Source organism: Homo sapiens, chromosome 21, assembly GCF_000001405.40.
Source record: "Homo sapiens chromosome 21, GRCh38.p14 Primary Assembly".
Taxonomy (NCBI): domain Eukaryota; kingdom Metazoa; phylum Chordata; class Mammalia; order Primates; family Hominidae; genus Homo; species Homo sapiens.
Window position 1 is genome coordinate 26,851,436 of NC_000021.9, and position 20,766 is coordinate 26,872,201.

Here is a 20,766-nt window from a genome sequence, read left to right on the forward strand (position 1 = left end):
ATCTTCTAGATGGGACTGCTCACTGATCAGAGGGCAGTAGAACCCGTTTGCTGGTGGTGAATGGAATGGGACCGCCCCCGGCATGCAGTGTCAGTGCAATGACAAAGAGTCTCTGTGTGGGATGAGGTGGTAGTATGGGGTGAGAAGCAGGTTTATGCAGCAGCAGCGGCACTTAGACAGTATGAGGAAAATAACAATTGAAAGGAACATGTCATTGGATGGGTTTTTGATAGTTGCTTCAGAGCAGGGGCTGGCAAGCTATGACCTTCAGGCTGACCATCTGTTCTTGTAAATAAAGTTTTACTGGAACAAAGTCACAATCATTTGCTTATGTATTTTTCATGGTTGCTTTCACAATACAAAGCAGAGTTGAATAATTGCAAAAGAGAGCAATGTCCACCAGTCCAAAATATTTGTTATCTGGCCCCTTCAAAAAAGTTTACCAGTGCCTGTTTTGAAGGTTATTTTGGAAATACAGAGATTATATACAGAGATTACATCGTTTTCTAACTTAATTTGAAGACATGCCATAAAAGTCACTTTTATCTCCTGCAATCAGAGAGCAGACGATGCTGAAAATCTAAAAATGTATAATCTTATAGTTGTTTTATATTAAAGTTAGGGTCCTAATAGAAAAACTATGGGATTCTGATACATAAAATGCAGACATTTGGATGGATGAGCCCCAGATTCTCCTAGACCCTGCAGAGGCAGATGTCACCCCCTTGCTAGAAGAGAACACCCTTTTTTGGCCTACAGACTGTAAAGTTCTCAGCAGAGGCAGGTGCCTCAGAAGGATACTTGTCCTGCTCATCTTCTGCCCCATTTCCCCCTCATTCCTAGCCTCTTAAAGTCTAAAATTTCTTCGGGAACTTTTGTTAAGAAACACTGACCATATGTATTAGTCAAGATTCTTCAGAGAGATAGAACATATGTATTTAATGAGATTATGAGGAATTGGCTCAGACGATTATAAGGCTGAGAAGTCCCAAGACCTCCTGTCACCATGCTGGAGACTCAGGAAAGTCAGTGGTTTGATTTTAGTTCAAGTCTGCAGGTCTGAGAGCCAGGGGAGTCGATGATATAAATCCCAGTCCAAGGACAGAAGAAGACTGATGTCCCAGCTCAAGCAGGCAGGAAGACAAAGGAGGGGAAATTCTGAAATTCCTCCTTCCTCTGTCCCTTTTGTTCCATTCAGAGCTTCAGTGGATTGGATCATGCCCACCCACATTGGGGAGAGCAGTCTACTCTACTGGAGTCCACTGATTCAAATGTTAATCGCATCTGGCGACATGCTTACAGACACACCCAGAAATAGTGTTTAATCTAGGCACCCCTTGGCCTGGTTAAGTTGACACATAAAATTAACCATCACACCATCTGAATTATATTTCATAAATATTTTCCAAATTTATAAAATGGAAGCAATAGTGTATGTATCTAATATTGAAAGCAATATATGTTGTAAATATAACATATAGCATATTGGAAGACCTCTCTCTCTCTCCATAGTAAAAATTCTGGGAATCTGGAGGGGTGATAGCCAAACCAAAACCAGGCCCAACTTCACTATGAAGCTTGGTGGTGGTTGTCCATTCAGGTTTAATATCAATCTGATATTGATTCTAGTCAGGTATCTGGCTGAGATTTCCAGGATAGCAACAATGATTCCAGGAATCTTTCAATTGTCTGTCTGATCTAGAGAGATTTGGTTTGAGGAATGCTCATTGTGTGTGTAGTAGGTGGAGATCTCACACTTCAGGTCCCATGTCCTGGCTTCCAGAGCAGCGGCTGCCTGCTGTTTCCTGCCAGACTGATTCTACCCTTTATGTCGCTCCTAACTTAAGAACTCCAGTCCACTCAAGAGAGCCAGCTGGCAGGGGAAGGGAACTAATTGCCAATGACTTTATAATTGAATGTATATTTTTCTACAGTTTTGCTGTGACAATAATAATAATGCCTGATATTTGTTGAGTGCCTACTATATACCATGCCTACTTTATATACATAAGCTAATTAATGCTCACATGTAGATTTATTGCTATTAATATCCCTATATCATTGATGAAGTTACTGAGGCAGAAGTTTGGCTAGCTCACACAGATAATAATTGATGGAGTCAGGTAATCTGTTCTTTTAAACTTTAACACAATGTACTGTATATACACCTGTATTTAAAACATTGTAAGGGTGATGTGGTGTAGAGAAGAAAGAGGACTAGGTTGAGAATCAAAGTATCCAATTCCAGGTTGCAGCCATTAGCTCAATGGCCTCAGTTACCAACTCTCTGGGTCTCAGTTTCTAAATCTAGAATGGATTGAACAGCTCCAACTTGAATATTCCATAAGTCTCAGTGTCAATTCGGTACTTTGAGTGATGATAGATGTACAGATTGATGTACCTTTGTTTTAATGGCATATCTTTGTTTCATAAGTGATTTATTATATCATCAACCATGGTGAGGAAATTATTCCTCAATTAAACTTTGCCTCAATTAGAACATTGTTCATATTGGAATATAAGACACACTTGTTTCTATTTCCAGAAACCCACTGTAGATAATGGCATTATTGTCACCAGTGTCTGGAAACAATGAATTAAAATTCTAAATAAGGCTATTCTGTTTTAGGTAATTTTGCCCATAAATAAACTGAGAAATATGATGGTATACAACAGGGTTTAGTGAGGATTTAGTGACACATTTTGCAGATTCTGTAACTTTAAAAATCATACACAGTCATGTGCCACAAAACAATGTTTCAGTAAGTGTTGGACTGCATATATGACAGTGGTCTTATAAAAATATAGCACTGCCTTTTTACTGTACCTTTTCTATGTTTAGATATACAAATACCATTGTGTACATTTGTGTACAGCATTCGGTACAGTAACACATTGTACAGGTTTGTAGCCTAGAAGCAATAGGGTATATCATACAGCCAAAGTATGGAGTAGGCTTTACCATCTAGATTTGTGTAAATACACTCTATGGTGTTCATACTGAGAGACAGGACTAGCTGGATTTCCTAGGCCGACTAAGAATCCCTAAGCCTAGCTGGGAAGGTGACCGCTTCCACCTTTAAACACGGGGCTTGCAACTTAGCTCACACCCGACCAATCAGATAGTAAAGAGAGCACACTAAAATGCTAATTAGGCAAAAACAGGAGGTAAAGAAATAGCCAATCATCTATTGCCTGAGAGCAAAGCGGGAGGGACAATGATCGGGATAGAAACCCAGGCATTCAAGCCGGAATGGCTACCCTCTTTGGGTCCCCTCCCTTTGTATGGGAGCTCTGTTTTCACTCTATTCAATCTTGCAACTGCACTCTTCTGGTCCGTGTTTGTTACAGCTTGAGCTGAGCTTTCGCTCGCCTTCCACCACTGCTGTTTGCCGCCATCGCAGACCTGCCGTGCTGACTTCCATCCCTCTAGATCTGGCAGGGTGTCCGCTGTGCTCTTGATCCAGCGAGGCGCCCATTGCCGCTCCCGATTGGGCTAAAGGCTTGCAATTGTTCCTGCACGCTAAGTGCCTGGGTTCATCCTCATCAAGCTGGGTTCCACGGTTCTCTTCATGACCCGCAGCTTCTAACAGAGCTATAAAACTCTGTGCATGGCCCAAGATTCCATTCCTTGGAATCTGTGAGGCCAAGAACCCCAGGTCAGAGAACAGGAGGCTTGCCACCATCTTGGAAGTGGCTCGCCACCATCTTAGGAGCTCTGTGAGCGGAGACCCCCACCCCCCGGTAACATTTTGGCGACCACGAAGGGACCTCCAAAGCGGTGAGTAATATTGGATCACTTTCGCTTGCTATTCTGTCCTATCCTTCTTTAGAATTGGAGGAAAATACTGGGCACCTGTCGGCCAGTTAAAAACAATTAGCGTGGCTGCCCGACTTAAGACTCAGGTGTGAGGCTATCTGGGGAAGGGCTTTCTAACAACCCCCAACCCTTCTGGGTTGGGGACGTTGGTCTGCCCCTTCCACTTTCAATTTTCTTGGGGAAGCCAAGGGTCGACTAGAGGCAGAAAGCTGTCGTCCGGAACTCCTGGCAGTAGCCGGTTGAGATCATGGCGCAGCCAGAAGTCTCTACTCAACAGTCGCCCATGCGTGCGCTCCTACCTTTCCTCCTGACCCATACCTCCTGGGTCCCGACGATGACTTTCTTGAAAGTGTAGCCCCAAAATTCTGCTTACCTCTGAATCTACTTCCCCTGATCCCTGGCTCCTAGGTACTAATGGTTCAGTTTCATTTCCTCTAGCAAGTTGTATCTCCAAAGGGATCTAAGGAAGCTCTACGCTGCGTCCTTAGGCATCTAGGCTATAAACCCAGGAAGTCTTGTCCCTGGTGTCCCTCCCGATTTAGGCATACAGCTCTCGACATGGGCAGTTATGTGGGACCCGTTCCCCATCACCCTTGTCAAGGCCCCAAGTTTGTAATGGCTAAGAGGAGAGAGAGAGAAAGAGAGAGAGACGGAGGGGAGAGAGAGAGAGAGAGATGGAGGGGAGAGAGAGAGAGAGAGACGGAGGGGAGAGAGAGAGAGAGAGAGAGACGGAGGGGAGAGAGAGAGAGACGGAGGGGAGAGAGAGAGAGATGGAGGAGAGAAAGACAAAGGGAGTCAAAGAGAAAAAGAAAGAGAAAGACAGAAATGGTAAAACAAACAAAAAACAGCGTGCCCTATTCCTTTAAAAGCCGGGGTAAATTTAAAACCTATAATTGATAATTGAAGGTCTTCTCCATGACCCTATAATACTCCAATACTACCTTGTTGTCAGTGTAAACAAGGGCGTAGCCTGAAAACACTGAGACCACTGACAACCTGCAGCTTTCCTATCAAAAAATCCTTAACCCAGTAACCGGCAGATGCATTCAATCTGTAGCAGCAACTGTTTTGCTAACAGAAGAAAGTAGAAAAGTAACTTTTAGAGGAAACCTCATTGTGAGCACACCTTACCAGTTCAGAATTATTCTAAGTCAAAAAAGCAAAAAGGTAGCTTACTAACTCAAAAATCTTAAAGTATGGGGCTATTGTGTTTAAAAAAAAAAAAAGGTAATTTAACACCAACCACTGATAATTCTCTTAACCCAGCAGGTTTCCTAACAGGGGATTTAAATCTTAATTACCATACAAAGGTCTGACCACACCTAGGAGGAACTCCCTTCAGGACAGGACTATAGAGGGTTCCTCCCAGGTGATTGAGGAAAAAACCACAGTGGGTATTCAGTAATTGATAGGGAGACTCTTGTGGAAGCAGAGTTAGAAAAATTGCCTAATAAATGGTGTCCTCAAAAGTGTGAGCTGTTTGCACTCAGCCAAGCCTTAAAGTACTTACAGAATCGTAAAAACTATCTCAATCCTGACTCAAAAGTTTACTTACACCCTCTCTGAAATGAATTTACATAAGAACTGCTTTTTTGGGAATGCATCTTGATGGGGCAGCTGGGTGGTTATGAAATACTCAGGAAACCAGCCCAGCTCTAGGACACATCCCTGAGCACAAAGGCAATGTTGGGCACGCTGGTAAAGGACCACTAGAATCCAGCAGCCTGGACTCCTTTCTTTGTGGTCAAGAAAGGCAGGAAAACAGGTGCAGGACTGCTACATCAGTGAGCATAACTAATCTGATAAGCAGAGGGCCTTGGGTGGTTACACACCCTGGAAAGGAATTCAACTCTGAGCGCAAAGGCAATGTTGGGCACATTGGTAAAGGACCACTAGAATCCAGCAGCCCAGGCCCCTTTCTTTATGGTCAAGAAAGGCGGGAAAAGGGGTGCAGGACTGTTACCTCGGTGAGCGTAACTAATCCGATAAGCAGAGGTCCATGGGTGATTACGCACCCTGAAAAGAATAAGCATTAGGCCCTTAAAGGATGCTCTAGGACTAATGCTCATTGGAAAATGACTAGGGGTGCTGGCATCCCTATGTTCTTTTCTCAGACGGGAAATGTTCTCCACCCTCCCCAAGGCAAAAACACCCCTAAGATGTATTCTGGAGAATTGGGACCAATTTGACCCCCAGACGCTAAGAAAGAGATGACTTATGTTCTTCTGCAGTACCACCTGGCCACGATATCCTCTTCAAGGGGGAGAAACCTGGCCTCCTGAGGGAAGTATAAATTATAACACCATCTTACAGCTAGACCTCTTCTGTAGAAAGGAGGGCAAATGGAGTGAAGTGCCATATGTGCAAACTTTCTTTTCATTAAGAGACAACTTGCAATTATGTAAGAAGTGTGATTTATGCCCTACAGGAAGCCCTCAGAGTCTACCTCCCTACCCCAGCATCCCCCTGACTCCTTCTCCAACTAATAAGGAACCCCCTTCAACCCAAACGGTCCAAAAGGAGATAGACAAAGGGGTAAACAATGAACCAAAGCGTGCCAATGTTCCCTGATTATGCCCCCTCTAAGCAGTGGGAGGAGGAGAATTTGGCCCAGCCAGTGTGCATGTGCCTTTTTCTCTCTCAGACTTAAAGCAAATTAAAATAGACCTAGGTAAATTCTCAGATAACCCTGATGGCTATATTGATGTTTTATAAGGGTTAGGATAATCCTTTGATCTGACATGGAGAGATATAATGTTACTGCTAGATCAGACACTAACCCCAAATGAGACAAGTGCCGCCATAACTGCAGCCTGAGAGTTTGGCGATCTCTGGTATCTCACTCGGGTCAATGATAGGAGGACAACAGAGGAAAGAGAATGATTCCCCACAGACCAGCAGGCAGTTCCCAGTGTAGACCCTCACTGGGACACAGAATCAGAACATGGACATTGGTGCTGCAGACATTTGCTAACTTACATGCTAGAAGGACTAAGGAAAACTAGGAAGAAGCCTACGAATTATTCAATGATGTCCACTATAACACAGGGAAAGGAAGAAAATCCTACTGCCTTTCTGGAGCGACTAAGGGAGGCATTGAGGAAGCATACTTCCCTGTCACCTGACTCTATTGAAGGCCAACTAATCTTAAAGGATAAGTTTATCACTCAGTCAGCTGAAGACATTAGGAAAAAACTTCAAAAGTCTGCCTTAGGCCCAGAGCAAAACTTAGAAACCCCATTGAACTTGGCAACCTCGGTTTTTTATAATAGAGATCAGGAGGAGCAGGCGGAACAGGACAAACGGGGTAAAAAAAAGGCCACCGCTTTAGTTATGGCCCTCAGGCAAGTGGACTTTGGAGGCTCTGGAAAAGGGAAAAGCTGGGCAAATCGAATGCCTACTAGGGCTTGCTTCCAGAGTGGTCTACAAGGACACTTTGAAAAAGATTGTCCAAGTAGAAATAAGTCGCCCCTTCGTCCATGCCCCTTATATCAAGGGAATCACTGGAAGGCCCACTATCCCAGGGGACAAATGTCCTCTGAGTCAGAAGCCACTAACCAGATGATCCAGCAGCAGGACTGAGGGTGCCCAGGGCAAGCACTAGCCCATGCCGTCACCCTCACAGAGCCCCAGGTATGCTTGACCATTGAGGGCCAGGAGGTTAACTGTCTCCTGGACACTAGCACGGCCTTCTCAGTCTTACTCTCCTTTCCCGGACAACTGTCCTCCAGATCTGTCACTATCCGAGGGTTCCTAGGACAGTCAGTCACTAGATACTTATCCCAGTCACTAAGTTGTGACTGGTGAACTTTACTCTTTTCACATGCTTTTCTAATTATCCCTGAAAGCACCACTCCCTTGTTAGGGCGAGACATTCTAGCAAAAGCAGGGGCCATTATACACCTGAACATAGGAGAAGGAACACCTGTTTGTTGTCCCCTGCTTGAGGAAGGAATTAATCCCGAAGTCTGGGCAACAGAAGGACAATACGGACGAGCAAAGAATGCCTGTGCTGTTCAAGTTAAACTAAAGGATTCCGCCTCCTTTCCCTACCAAAGGCAGTACCCCCTTAGACCTGAGGCCCAACAAGGACTCCAAAAGATTGTTAAGGACCTAAAAGCCCATGGCCTAGTAAAACCATGCAATAGCCCCTGCAATACTCCAATTTTAGGAGTACAGAAACCCAACAGACAGTGGAGGTTAGTGCAAGATCTCAGGATTATCATTGAGGCTGTTGTTCCTGTATAGCCAGCTGTACCTAACCCTTATACTCTGCTTTCCCAAATACCACAGGAAGCAGAGGGGTTTACAGTCCGGGGCCTTAAGGACACCTTTTTCTGCATCCCTGTATATCCTGACTCTCAATTCTTGTTTGCCTTTGAAGATCCTTCAAACTCAACGTCTCAACTCACCTGGAATGTTTTACCCCAAGGGTTCAGGGATAGCCCCCATTAGCCCAAGACTTGAGCCAGTTCTTATACCTGGACACTCTTGTCCTTTGGTACGTGGATGATTTACTTTTAGCCACCTGTTCAGAAACCTTGTGCCATCAAGCCACCCAAGCACTCTTTAATTTCCTCGCCACCTGTGGCTACAGGTTTCCAAACCAAAGGCTCAGCTCTGCTCACAGCAATTTAAATGCTTAGGGCTAAAATTATCCAAAGGCACCAGGGCCCTCAGTGAGGAAAGTATCCGGCCTATACTGGCTTATCCTCATCCCAAAACCCTAAAGCAACTAAGAGTGTTCCTTGGCATAACGGGTTTCTGCCGAATATGGATTCCCAGGTACAGCGAAATAGCCAGACCATTATATACACTAATTAAGGAAACTCAGAAAGCCAATACCCATTTGGTAAGATGGACACCTGAAGCAGAAGCAGATTTCCAGGCCCTAAAGAAGGCCCTGACCCAAGCCCCAGTGTTAAGCTTGCCAATGGGGCAAGACTTTTCTTTATATGTCACAGAAAAAACAGGAATAGCTCCAGGAGTCCTTACGCAGATCCAAGGGACGAGCCTGCAACCCATGGCATACCTGAGTAAGGAAATTAGTGGCAAAGGGTTGGCCTCATTGTTTATGGGTAGTGGCAGCAGTCACAGTCTTAGTAACTGAAGCAGTTAAAATGATACAAGGAAGAGATCTTACTGTGTGGACATCTCATGATGTGAATGGCATACTCACTGCTAAAGGAGACTTGTGACTGTCAGACAACTGTTTACTTAAATATCAGGCTCTATTACTTGAAGGGCCAGTGTTGCGACTGTGCACTTGTGCAACTCTTAACCCAGCCACATTGCTTCCAGACAATGAAGAAAAGATAGAACATAACTGTCAACAAATAATTGCTCAAACCTACACTGCTCGAGGGGACCTTTTAGAAGTTCCCTTGACTGATCCCGATCTCAACTTGTATACTGATGGAAGTTCCTTTGCAGAAAAAGGACTTCAAAAGGCGGTGTATGCAGTAGTCCTTCAAAATCGAAGAGCTTTAGAATTGCTAATCACTGAGAGAGGGGGAACGTTTTTATTTTTAGGGGAAGAATGCTGTTATTATGTTAATCAATTCGGAATCATCACCAAGAAAGTTAAAGAAATTCAAGATCGAATACAACGTAGAACAGAGGAGCTTAAAAAACACTGGACCCTGGGGCCTCCTCAGCCAATGGATGCCCTGGATTCTCCCCTTCTTAGGACCTCTAGCAGCTATATTTCTACTCCTCTTTGGACCCTGTATCTTTAACCTCCGTGTTAAGTTTGTCTCTTCCAGAATCGAAGATGTAAAACTACAAATCGTTCTTCAAATGGACCCCCAGATGCAGTCCATGACTAAGATCTACTGAGGACCCCTGGACCAGCCTGCTAGCCCATGCTCCAATGTTAATGACATTGAAGGCACCCCTCCCAAGGAAATCTCAACTGCACAACCCCTACTATGCTCCAATTCAGCAGGAAGCAGTTACAGTGGTCCTCGGCCAACCTCCCCAACAGCATTTGTATTTTCCTGTTGGGAGGGGGCACTGAGAGACAGGACTAGCTGGATTTCCTAGGCTGACTGAGAATCCCTAAGCCTAGCTGGGAAGGTGACCACTTCCACCTTTAAACACAGGGCTTGCAACTTAGCTCACACCCTACCAATTGGATAGTAAAGAGAGGTCACTAAAATGCTAATTAGGCAAAAACAGGAGGTAAAGAAATAGCCAATCATCCATTGCCTGAGAGCACAGCGGGAGGGACAATGACCAGGATATAAACCCAGGCATTCCAGCCTGCAACGGCAACCCCCTTTGGGTCCCCTCTCTTTGTATGGGAGCTCTGTTTTCACTCTATTCAATCTTGCAACTGCACTCTTCTGGTCCGTGTTTGTTACGGCTCAAGCTGAGCTTTTGCTCACCATCCACCACTGCTGTTTGCCGCCGTTGCAGACCCGTCGCTGACTTCCATCCCTCCAGATCTGGCAGGGTGTCCACTGTGCTCCTGATCCAGCGAGGCACCCATTGCCACTCCCGATCAGGCTAAAGGCTTGCCATTGTTCCTGCACAGCTAAGTGCCTGGGTTCGTCCTAATCAAGCTGAACACTAGTCACTGGGTTCCATGGTTCTCTTCCATGACCCATGGCTTCTAATAGAGCTATAACACTCACCGCATGGCCCAAGATTCCATTCCTTGGAATCCGTGAGGCCAAGAACCCCAGGTCAGAGAACACGAGGCTGCCGCCATCTTGGAAGCTCTATGAGCAAGGACCCCCCAGTAACAATACGATGACAAAATCACTTACCAATGCTTTTCTCAGAATGTATCCCCATTGTTAATTGATGCATGACTGTGTGTGTATAAGTATTTATCGCCAAAAGAAGAAATAGATTTCAAATTTCCATATTGTATCACTGAGGCAAGAAATATAAAGACGTCAGTCATATGACTTTTCACTTAAGGAAACAAAATGGACTCTTGAGTAGATAAATATGATGATTTTTTGGAACTCATCAACATCATTCTCATGATTCCTGATATTTATCAAGCACTTACTATATGCAGACACTGACCTATCTATTCACATTTATTTAGCTTGGCCAAAATTTATCCCTGTATTTTTAAGAGAATGTTTCAACAAGGAAAAGATAAATATATGACAATCTTTTACATCTTTACAAAAACCCTATAAACATTTCTACCTGGAAGAAGAATGTGACACTAACCCAAATTTAAGCAGCTGGTGCACATCCAAATTCAAGGCAACTGCACAAGCTATATATACTTTACATTAGAAATTAGAGACCAAATAAACAGAAGCAGGTGAACCAAAAGAACATTACAAGAGATTTTCAGACACCCATTAAACACAACAGCTCTGTTCTGAACAACTCCTGTGCGATAAGGGAAGAGCAAGAACTCACGTGGTATGAGAAATACTGCAATAAGAAGGCTCAAGTAAATCCCTTTTTGGGTCTATTTTTGCAAAATTAAGAATTAAAAAAAAGAAAATTTGAGACAGCACATAGAAAAAATCAAAAGCATAAAGGAAAAAAGCCTATAAGTTTTTAAGAGAATAGAAAATAACTTTAATGAATTAAGCTTATACCCAAATGCCATTTCTGAGTGTCTGTAGGACATGCCTTTTGAGGGAAAATTGAGTCTGTCAGTCACCTCTTCCCTGTGTTAAGCCTAGGTGCCAATACTTGCCTGAGGTTTAAACACAGACTTGAAGGTTTTAGAGGTTTTAGTACCATTAAAACCAGATTTGAAGTTTTTAATACCACTAAAACAAAAGAAATTAGATTTTTCCCATCAACTATATGTCAAATCACAGATGTCTGTCTGTTCACTTTATTTGCATATAGAAAAGAGTGCATAATGAGAAGAACTTCTCTTAAAATGCTATGCCTTTTTAGCCATTTCTTTACTATTTTTTATAATTTTATTATGCTCTTCTTCCCCACTTTATATTTTGTACACTCTAGTTAAAACAAGTACACAAATCTTATTATTTTATAAGAATATTGCAAATGGTTGTTGACAGCTTCAAGTACTTCAGTGTATGCATACATTTCATGGTTTTTTTTTTTTTTTTTTTGATGGAGTCTCACTCTGTCACCAGGCTGGAGTGCAGTGGTGGGATCTTGGCTCATCACAACCTCCGTCTTCCGGGGTTCAAGCGATTCTCCTGCCTCAGCCTCCTAAGTAGCTGGGACTACAGGTGCGGGCCACCATACTCAGCTAATTTTTTTTTTCTTTTTGATAGAGACAGGGTTTCACCATGTTAGCCTGGATGGTCTCGATCTCTTGACCTCATGACCCGCCTGCCTTGGCCTCCCAAAGTGCTGGGATTACAGGCGTGAACCACTGCACCTGGGTGCATAATTTCCATGTTAAGAAACTGGAGGAAAAGAAGTTTTCTTATCAATTCAAATGACTTTTAAAAGATTGTATCATTTTTCTGTGACTTCGTCAATTTTATTTTCTCTCTTTTTTTCCCTCCTCGCTTCTTTCCTTCCTCTCTTTTTATATTTTTATTTATTTATTTTTCTATATACTGTGCTTAACACAGATTTTTTAATGTTTATTAAATTCCTACTTTGTGTCAGGTGCTGTACTGGACACTAATGGTATATACTTTGCACCCAAAGACTTCACAGTCTTATCAAGAATTGCTAGAATACTTCTGTTTTAGTGTAGTTAGTGATCTACAGGGAAAACAGACAGAATAGAGGGGTTGGGACCATTAACTCTGTTCAAGGGTGCGGGGAGGAGGGAGCAGAGACGTTTTACAAAGGGAGAGTTATTGATCTGATTTTCTTCATTATATTATTTTGAGACTTGATAGATGTATCTTGTATGTGAATAATATTTCCGTTTCTGTTTCTTCTGTAAAAAGTTAAGTATATGGAACACTTCACTTCTTTTGGAAAGGTCACGTGTTCTAGAAAAGATTTTTCAGTTGAGGTTCTACTCATTTACATTAGCACATTTTAGTCTGTGTAGCTTAGTTTCTGCATTCTAAATTGTCCTTATTAATCGTTCTTCTGTTTTGAAGCAATATAAAATCTATATGACCACACACAGATATTCACATATGAAAAGAGTTTATTACTAAGAAATATAGTTTAGCAGTTTCAGGAAATAACAAAGAAAATTATGCTAAACCTAATTTTAAAATCTAAATCTAAATTATGCTAAAATCTAATTTTAAAAGCATAATGAGTAGCTATTGTTTAACTCTTCCTGCTTATCTGTAAAACTTTTCTTTAGCATCATTTGAGAATTTTATCAATGCCTCTTTGTTCTTTGAAAAAAGGAAAAATTATGAGAGCTTATAAAACTCAAACCCTAAAGTGTCATTCACTACTTAGTTTAAAGAATGAATCTGGGGCATTTTTTCATTGTAACGAAAAACTTTAAACTTGGAGTCTTCAATTTAATATTAAAATATTTTAAATATTTTGCATTAATATTTTCTCCTTTACATATGGTTTACTTATTCTCTTTATTCTCTTTTTTTTTTTTTTTTGAGACGGAGTCTCGCTCTGTCGCCCAGGCTGGAGTGCAGTGGTGTGATCTTGGCTTACTGCAAGCTCTGCCTCCCAGGTTCACGCCATTCTCCTACCTCAGCCTCCCAAGTAGCTGGGACTACAGGCGCCCACCACCAAGCCTGGCTATTTTTTTGTATTTTTAGTAGACATGGGGTTTCACCGTGTTAGCCAGGATGGTCTTGATCTCCTGACCTCGTGATCCACCCACCTCAGCCTCCCAAAGTGCTGGGATTACAGGCGTGAGCCACTACACCCAGCCTACTTATTCTCTTTAAAATGATTGTGTGTAAGTAATAGGAAAAGGCTTTTTGACTTCTTGTATTTTTTCCCTACTTTTCTAATTATTTTTGTTAAGGATGGTACATAATAGTGAAATGGTTGATGAGCAGAATCTTATCTTCCTAAGAAAAAACTTGTTTCCACTTCCTTTTCTTAGAGAAGAGGGAAATGCATATATTGAGAAGTAAAAATTACAAATGAAAAATAATTTAGTTTTTGTCCTATACTTATTTTTTGTAGACTACATTATATAGCTATATTTATATGTATACACACAAACATTCATACATTAGAGCAATCAATATATGCCTTTACTTATATTTTTACAAATTGTGATAGTCTTACAGTCTTGAATTATTATCTCAATTGGCACTTTGAATAATATATCATTTTTAATGTGAATCATTTGAGGAGTAGAAAAGTGCCATTTGAATGCAATATGTATTAAACCCAAAAGGTCTTTTTTCCTCATTCATTCTCTGGTAGATATTAATGTAAGTGTTAATATATAGGCTCAATGGTTCCCCAAGAAATCTAAAATAATTAAGAAAATAATCACAATGAAAAATGAATTTTTCTGATTAATAAATGAGTCAAAGACATAAATCATTCAAAAAAATTAGACAATCCAAGGCAAACATATATAAAATATTTTTAACAATACTTGAGTAAAATTGATTTAGCTATAACTCACAATAATGATGATGATAGTGGTGGTGGTATAATAACTCACATTTACTCACTACTGGGGTTTTCAGGCACTACATTAAATACTTCCCATGTATTAGTTTATTTCTTCAAAAGCGCCCTCTGTAATATTTTCTATTAATCGTTGGAAGCTTAGAAATGTTAATTGACCTGCCTAAGGTCCCATAGCTAAGAAGCAGTTTATGTAGTCATTATAAACTGTCTACCAAATATTTCTGGTTCTCTTTCCAAGCACATGTTAGTATTGTACTTCCCTACCCACTTGAAGTTAGGTGTGTCTGTGTGACTTGCTTTAGTAAACTGTGAGCCAAGTGACTTAAATTGGCCAATAAAATGAAAGCAGAGTATGACTTCCAGTTGGAAACTCTGAAGCCACTGAGTGCTTTGCCACGCTCCCTTTCTTTTCCTCTGTAATGACAATGCTTATGTCAAAATCACTGGCTGCTCTATAAGCCTGAGTCTTGGAAGAATGACAGTGACAGCAGAGCTTACAACCATAATGGACAAGCAGATTCAAGATGCTGGCAGGTTCAGTGTCTGGGGAAGATTGATTTTCAGTTCATAGATAACTGTCTTCTAGCTGTGTCCTCACCTGTTTGAAGGGGCTGGGGGTCTCTCTTGGGCCTCTTTTATAAGAGTACTAATCCCACTAATTAGGGCTCTTCCCTCAATGACCTAATCACTTTACAAAGGTGGCTCCTCCTAATGCCATCATCTTGGTGAGGCAGGAGAATAGAGTCTGGAGGCAGGAAACCTGAGACCAATTTATGCTGACTTCCTAGAATTAAATCTAAAGGAAACCCCAACTTTCCATGCCCAAATAACAAAAGGATCAACGGCTACTCCTTTGGCAGCCCTCCCCTTTTGTGCTTTGCAGATAAAAAGTGGAAAGTACCTCTGATAGGTCCCCTCCTGTAACCAGTCAGTCTGGTGGTGGGCCTAGTCTAAATTTGCATAGGGATATAACTTTGTAACTTCACTTCAGCCTCTGATTGGTTGCCTTCCATAACCAATCAGACTGGTCGGGGGCCACTCACCACGTAACCAATGGGAAACCTCTAGAGGGTATTAAAATCCCAGAAAATTCTGTGACCAGCACTCTGGAGCCGCTTGCTTGAGTCTGCTCCCACTCTGTGGAGTGTACTTTCTTTTCAGTAAATCTCTGCTTTCATTGCTTTATTCTTTCATTACTTTGTCTGCATATTTTGTCCAATTTTTTGTTCAGAATGCCCAGAACCTGCACAATTGGTAGTCAAAACCCTCCGCCTGTAACATTAGGGGTTAGGATTTTAACATATAAATTTTGGAAGGGACACAAACATTAAGAACATAGCACTATTTTACTGAAAACTAAGAAAATCAAGTAAAAACTGTATACAATATAATAGCATTGTCATAACTTTCACATATATAAAAAGCAAGTAGTTTAAATACATAATGTAAGAAAAGCTCCCTTCACAACTATAAAAAATTATTAAAATCTTAAAAAGGAGCATGAAAAAATATATTAAAGATTTGCTGAAAAATAATAAAGTTAAAATAAACAACTCGTGTGGGATGCAGAATGATTTGATCAAATGATGTCATACCTTACTGTGGAAGGCTGAGTCCATGGAAAACTCAACATTATAAAAATATTAGTTCTCCATAACTTATACACTTAACATGATCACAATAAAAATATTAACAGAATATTTTTTAGAGGGAACTCAGAATAGCAAGTTTAAAATTTATGTGGAAGAACTAATTCAAAGGAGTTTAGCTTTTGCTTAGGATGTATAAAACTGTCAGAGAACACTGTTAGAAGAATCTGGATGATCAACAAAATCATAACTTTTCTTGAACTGTTCATAAAGCTGCAGTCATAAGGAACTAACTACACTAAATTCCAAAGTATAACAAACCCTTCCGAGGCGAGAACTCACAATTTTTTTTTCACCATTAGTAGGGCACTAAGAAGAGTTACCTACTGCAAAGGTGAGTAAGAAAAAAAAAAAAGCGAAGTATTAGCCAGCATGTCAGAGAGTCCAAACATGAGAAAGCTCTGCACTCACTCACAAGCTGGACGTTTTCCTCCCCTTGGTGATGCTAGGTACAAAGCTCTACCTACTTTCTAGAATTATCTCTTATTTGAAGCCAAAGTTAAAGGGGAAGAATCCACTAACTGTGGGTGTAAACTAAAACAAAACTATCTTCCTTGAGCATAGGAAGGGAAAACAAAGTGAAAGAAAACATTCCACTCCCGGAGGAAAGGGGAAGAGACCCAGGAAGAGGTGAGATTTCTGTTTGATTCCAAAGACAGGGAAAAGCCAATGTGTTAGTTCAAAGGTAGTCAGGTAGGAAGAATTCTTTCTTACTAGGGAGAGGGCCCACCTTTTGTTCTATTTAAGCCTCTGATTGATTGGACAAGGCTCACTCACATAATGGAGTTCAATCTGCTTTACTCACTCCATTGATTTAAATGTTAATCTCATGTAAAATATCCTCCCAGAAACACTCAGAATAATGTTTGAGCCCAGATCTGGGCACCCTGTGACCCAATCAAGTTCATAGATAAAATTAACCATCACTATGTGCTTTTGCGTGTGTGTGTGCGTGTGTGTGTGTGTGTGTGTGTGAGTGACAGGGTCTTGCTCTGTCACCCAGACTGGAGTGCAGTGGTGTGAACATGGCTCACTGCAGCCTCAACCTTCTGGGCTCAAACAATACTTCTACCTTAGCCTCCTGAGTTGCTGGGACCACAGGTGTCAGACTTCATACCCCACCAGCTTTTTATAATATCAAAGAATCAAAGAATGTTAAAATATAAGCAATTTCAGATACATTAGAATACAGGTATATGATTTAGTGCTATGTTGCATAAAAATGCCCTGAGAAGAAACTTTAAAGTCCTGGTAAATTTTTATGATATACTTTTAACTTATTAAAATGTTTACAGAGCATTATGTTTTATATGCCTTTTTAAACTATGTAAAAATGCATGAAAGACATGCAGATATGTATATGTGAATGAATGTCTGCATAATATATATATTGTGTGTATATATATGTCAAACAAACCAATTTTCTTGTTATACTGGTAAAATGGTGTATTTCTATTAAAATGATAATTATATTTTATAGAAATACATAGAAAATACTACAGAAAATGCTAAGTCAAAAGAAAGGGATACAATAAAGAATAAAGAAACATACGGCATGTTTCATGTAGTCCATCTTCCACAAATTTCAAAAATGACATTTTTGTTGTATGAGTTTGTTTGCCCCTTTGGCGCTTCAAACAAAGCTTCCTAGTCATTTAGAAGATAAAATTCAAACTCCTGTTGTGCCCTGGGACAACCTGTCTAGGGTCAACTCTCAGAAGCCCTTCTTGCCCTGTGAATTCTCATGGTACCTAACTCTGTTGTTTTCTGCACACACAATGCTGCTTTATATCTCTGTACTTTTACCTAGTCTATATTCCCTTCCTAGATCGATCTTGAAACATCCTTTACACTCTTGTGAACCTGAAAAACATTTATTATTTTTAGTACTCTGCTCTTCTGGTGACATCATGTTGACGAAATCCCACATGGTGTCAGTTTTCTCCTGAGAAACAAACAGGCTGAGGTAGGAACATCTTCCTTTCTTCTATTTTTATTGCTATATATATAGTTATTTTATTACCTTTTATACGTATAAAATTTCTGTAATTGTTTGGTTACTGATACAGTTTTCACACAGGAGTGTAAACTTCTCAAGGACAGTAGTTGTATCTTATCACCACCTGTAACTAAAAAAAAAATTCTCAGGCACTCAACCAACAAATATTTATTTCAAATTAATTGAAGTGAAAACTATTAAGATCAATATGGAAATAATGTTTGTCTATGATGGAATTCTGAGGAAAGCATACTTCCTTAAGTAAATTTTACGGTGAAGGAATTATTAGGAAGCAGATTTCTTAATGTTGTCCTTTGCGTTTCTTAGTTTTAAGTAACAATTGTTAAGCCATATAATTGTTTTAGGTAAGAAACTTTAATACAAGACTTGGCTAACTGGAGGTCTTTATTTAAATGTACAATACAGGATTCAAAAATTAGTAGACTTTTCTTTCCATTTCAGGCGGTATTTTGGACTAGATTGCCTTAAGATTCCTCCTATGGAAAAGAGCTAAAAGAGACAGAGAAAATATAACAACAAACTCTTTATGAGTGCATCTTGTAAACACACAAGAAAGTAAGGAATTTTTAGAGGGCAAAGAATCAACAGAGGAAAACAAAACTTAGATGTAAATTCTCCTTGAGGAAATTTTCTGTAGGGAGAAAGTTTGTTTTTAAGGACTGTCCATAAGTGGGGAACACGGGATCAACTCCATACAAGATGGATATTCACAGGCAATCACTTCTCTACATCCCATATATTTAACTCTCAGGAGAGGACAAGAAAAATAGTCCATCTTAGACTCTGATGCTGTATAGAGGAAAAAGAAAAATTTTCTTTGAGACTCTGTAACCATAAGCCATCTGATTTCAGTTTTATAGACAGAATTCATACTTCCTGGGTGGTCTCAGTTCTCAGCATACGCTCAGTGTAATGTGGTCCTGGTTACTAGTGTTCCTGGGACCTTGCAGGTCCAGACAAAAGCCCTCTCCCATGAAAACTACCACAGCTTGAGGCTCAAATAATATCCATAGAAATATGAGCTCACAGTAAAAACAAAAGTGAAACAAAGCAAAGCAAAATAAGCAAGCCTTGATGAGTGAGAGCCACCAGAAAAAAAAACAAATCATAGAATCAAATCTGAAAAAAGATGTTAAATGTTGGAATTATCAGACACAACATATAAAACAATGATTTGAAAATAAGTTACGAGAGAGTCTGTAAAAATTGACTGAATACAAAATCCGAATATGATGGGTTTATTAGCAGATTAGACAAAGATGAAGAGCAAATTAGTGAACTGGAAAGAGATATGGAGAAATTTCAAAGAATGTAAGAAAGTCCATGGGATGAAAGATAGAGAAGACATGTTAAGTAAAATGAAAGATAGAGTCAGGTTAAAAACGAGGAATTAATATGTAAACAGTAAATTTATCATAACGGTAAAAATTTAGGTGAACAAAGATAAAACGAAGACTTAACCCTTTTCCGGTTTAGAAAAAAAAGTGCAGCTCACTGCCAAAACAATTTCACATAAATATGCTCTTTGAGGCTGAAGCAAATCTGATTGATTTTCAACATGAAAATAAAATATATAAGCTGTTCTCAGAGTTATTTCTAACCAGAACTAACATCAGAATTGTCTGAATCATGAGAATTATCTATTTCGGAAAAATCAGATTCATCAAATGAATCTTTGATCAGCAACTGTTCAAGAACAACGTTAACATCACATGTAGGAATGCTAGATTTTCTAGGATTTGATATATTTAGCAATGGAGAATTGCCATATTTTGCAAATGGAAATGCCACTACTAAAAACAGAATGCTGTAAATAGAATGACGTTTTCTGTTTCTGAAGTTGATATACAAGAGCAATGCGAAAACAATAATAAAAGCAAAATATTTTGTGGCAAATTTATCTCAGGGTAAATGCTGCAGCTGCAAGCACTGCAGCTTTTATCTATGCAAACTTTTTGAAATGCTACATCAGTGAGTATTCTCAGGGCAAATGGGAAAAGGGTTACAACCTCAGCCAGAAGTATAGACAGCTATGTTCAGTCAGATGATAATTATTCTGAGAAATGATTTCTCCACAGCATCAGTGAAAGCTTGAGGAAAGTGGAATGATATATTTAATATCCTGAGAGAAAGTAACTGTCAGTGCAGAATTGTATACTAGAAAAATCACAAGAATTAGGGCAAAATAATGACATTTTCAGATAAAACCTAACAGAGTTTGTCCACAATAGACTAAGGAAAACCTAAAATATGTATTTCAGTGTAGGGTCCAGCCCTACAGGGCCTGTGGGTTTTTCTCTTCATGTGCGGAGAGGAGAGATCATAGAAATAAACACACAAGACAAAGAGATAGAAGAAAAGACAGTTGGGACCAGGGGACCACTACCACCAAGGCGTGGAGACCGGTAGTGGCTCCGAATGCCTGGCTGCGCTGTTATTTATTGCATACAAGGCAAGAAGGCAGGGTAAGGAGTGTGAGTCATCTCCAATGAGAGGTGAGATCGCACGAGTCACGTGTCCATTGGACAGGGGACACTTCCCTATTTGGTAGCCGAGGCAGAGAGAGACAGGGGACAGCTTATGTCATTATTTCTTCTATGTATTTCTTGGAGAGATCAAAGACTTTAATACTTTGACTAATTCTGCTACTGCTATCTAGAAGTTGGAGCCAGGTGTACATGTCGGAGCATGAAAGTGGACCAGGAGCATGACCGCTGAAGCACAGCATCACAGGGAAACGTTTAGGCCTCTGGATGGCTGTGGGCGGGCGG

At 40.4% G+C, this 20,766-nt stretch overlaps 1 long non-coding RNA gene across 1 annotated transcript in view, besides 1 other annotated feature; it reads left to right on the plus strand.

Moving 5' to 3' along the window:
• Positions 906–1,473: an enhancer, noted in NCBI's record as "NANOG hESC enhancer chr21:28224660-28225227 (GRCh37/hg19 assembly coordinates)". NCBI's record gives its function as "activates a minimal SCP1, AML or CMV promoter by ChIP-STARR-seq in naive H9 embryonic stem cells {active_cell/tissue: H9 hESC(naive)}" and the evidence as "EXISTENCE:reporter gene assay evidence [ECO:0000049][PMID:30033119]".
• Positions 3,459–20,766, plus strand: part of LOC105372760 (uncharacterized) — a 55,507-nt gene continuing 38,199 nt past the window's right edge. The window contains exon 1 of the long non-coding RNA XR_937632.3: positions 3,459–3,781. This is a non-coding gene — a long non-coding RNA (uncharacterized LOC105372760). The remainder of the gene's footprint in view (positions 3,782–20,766) is intronic.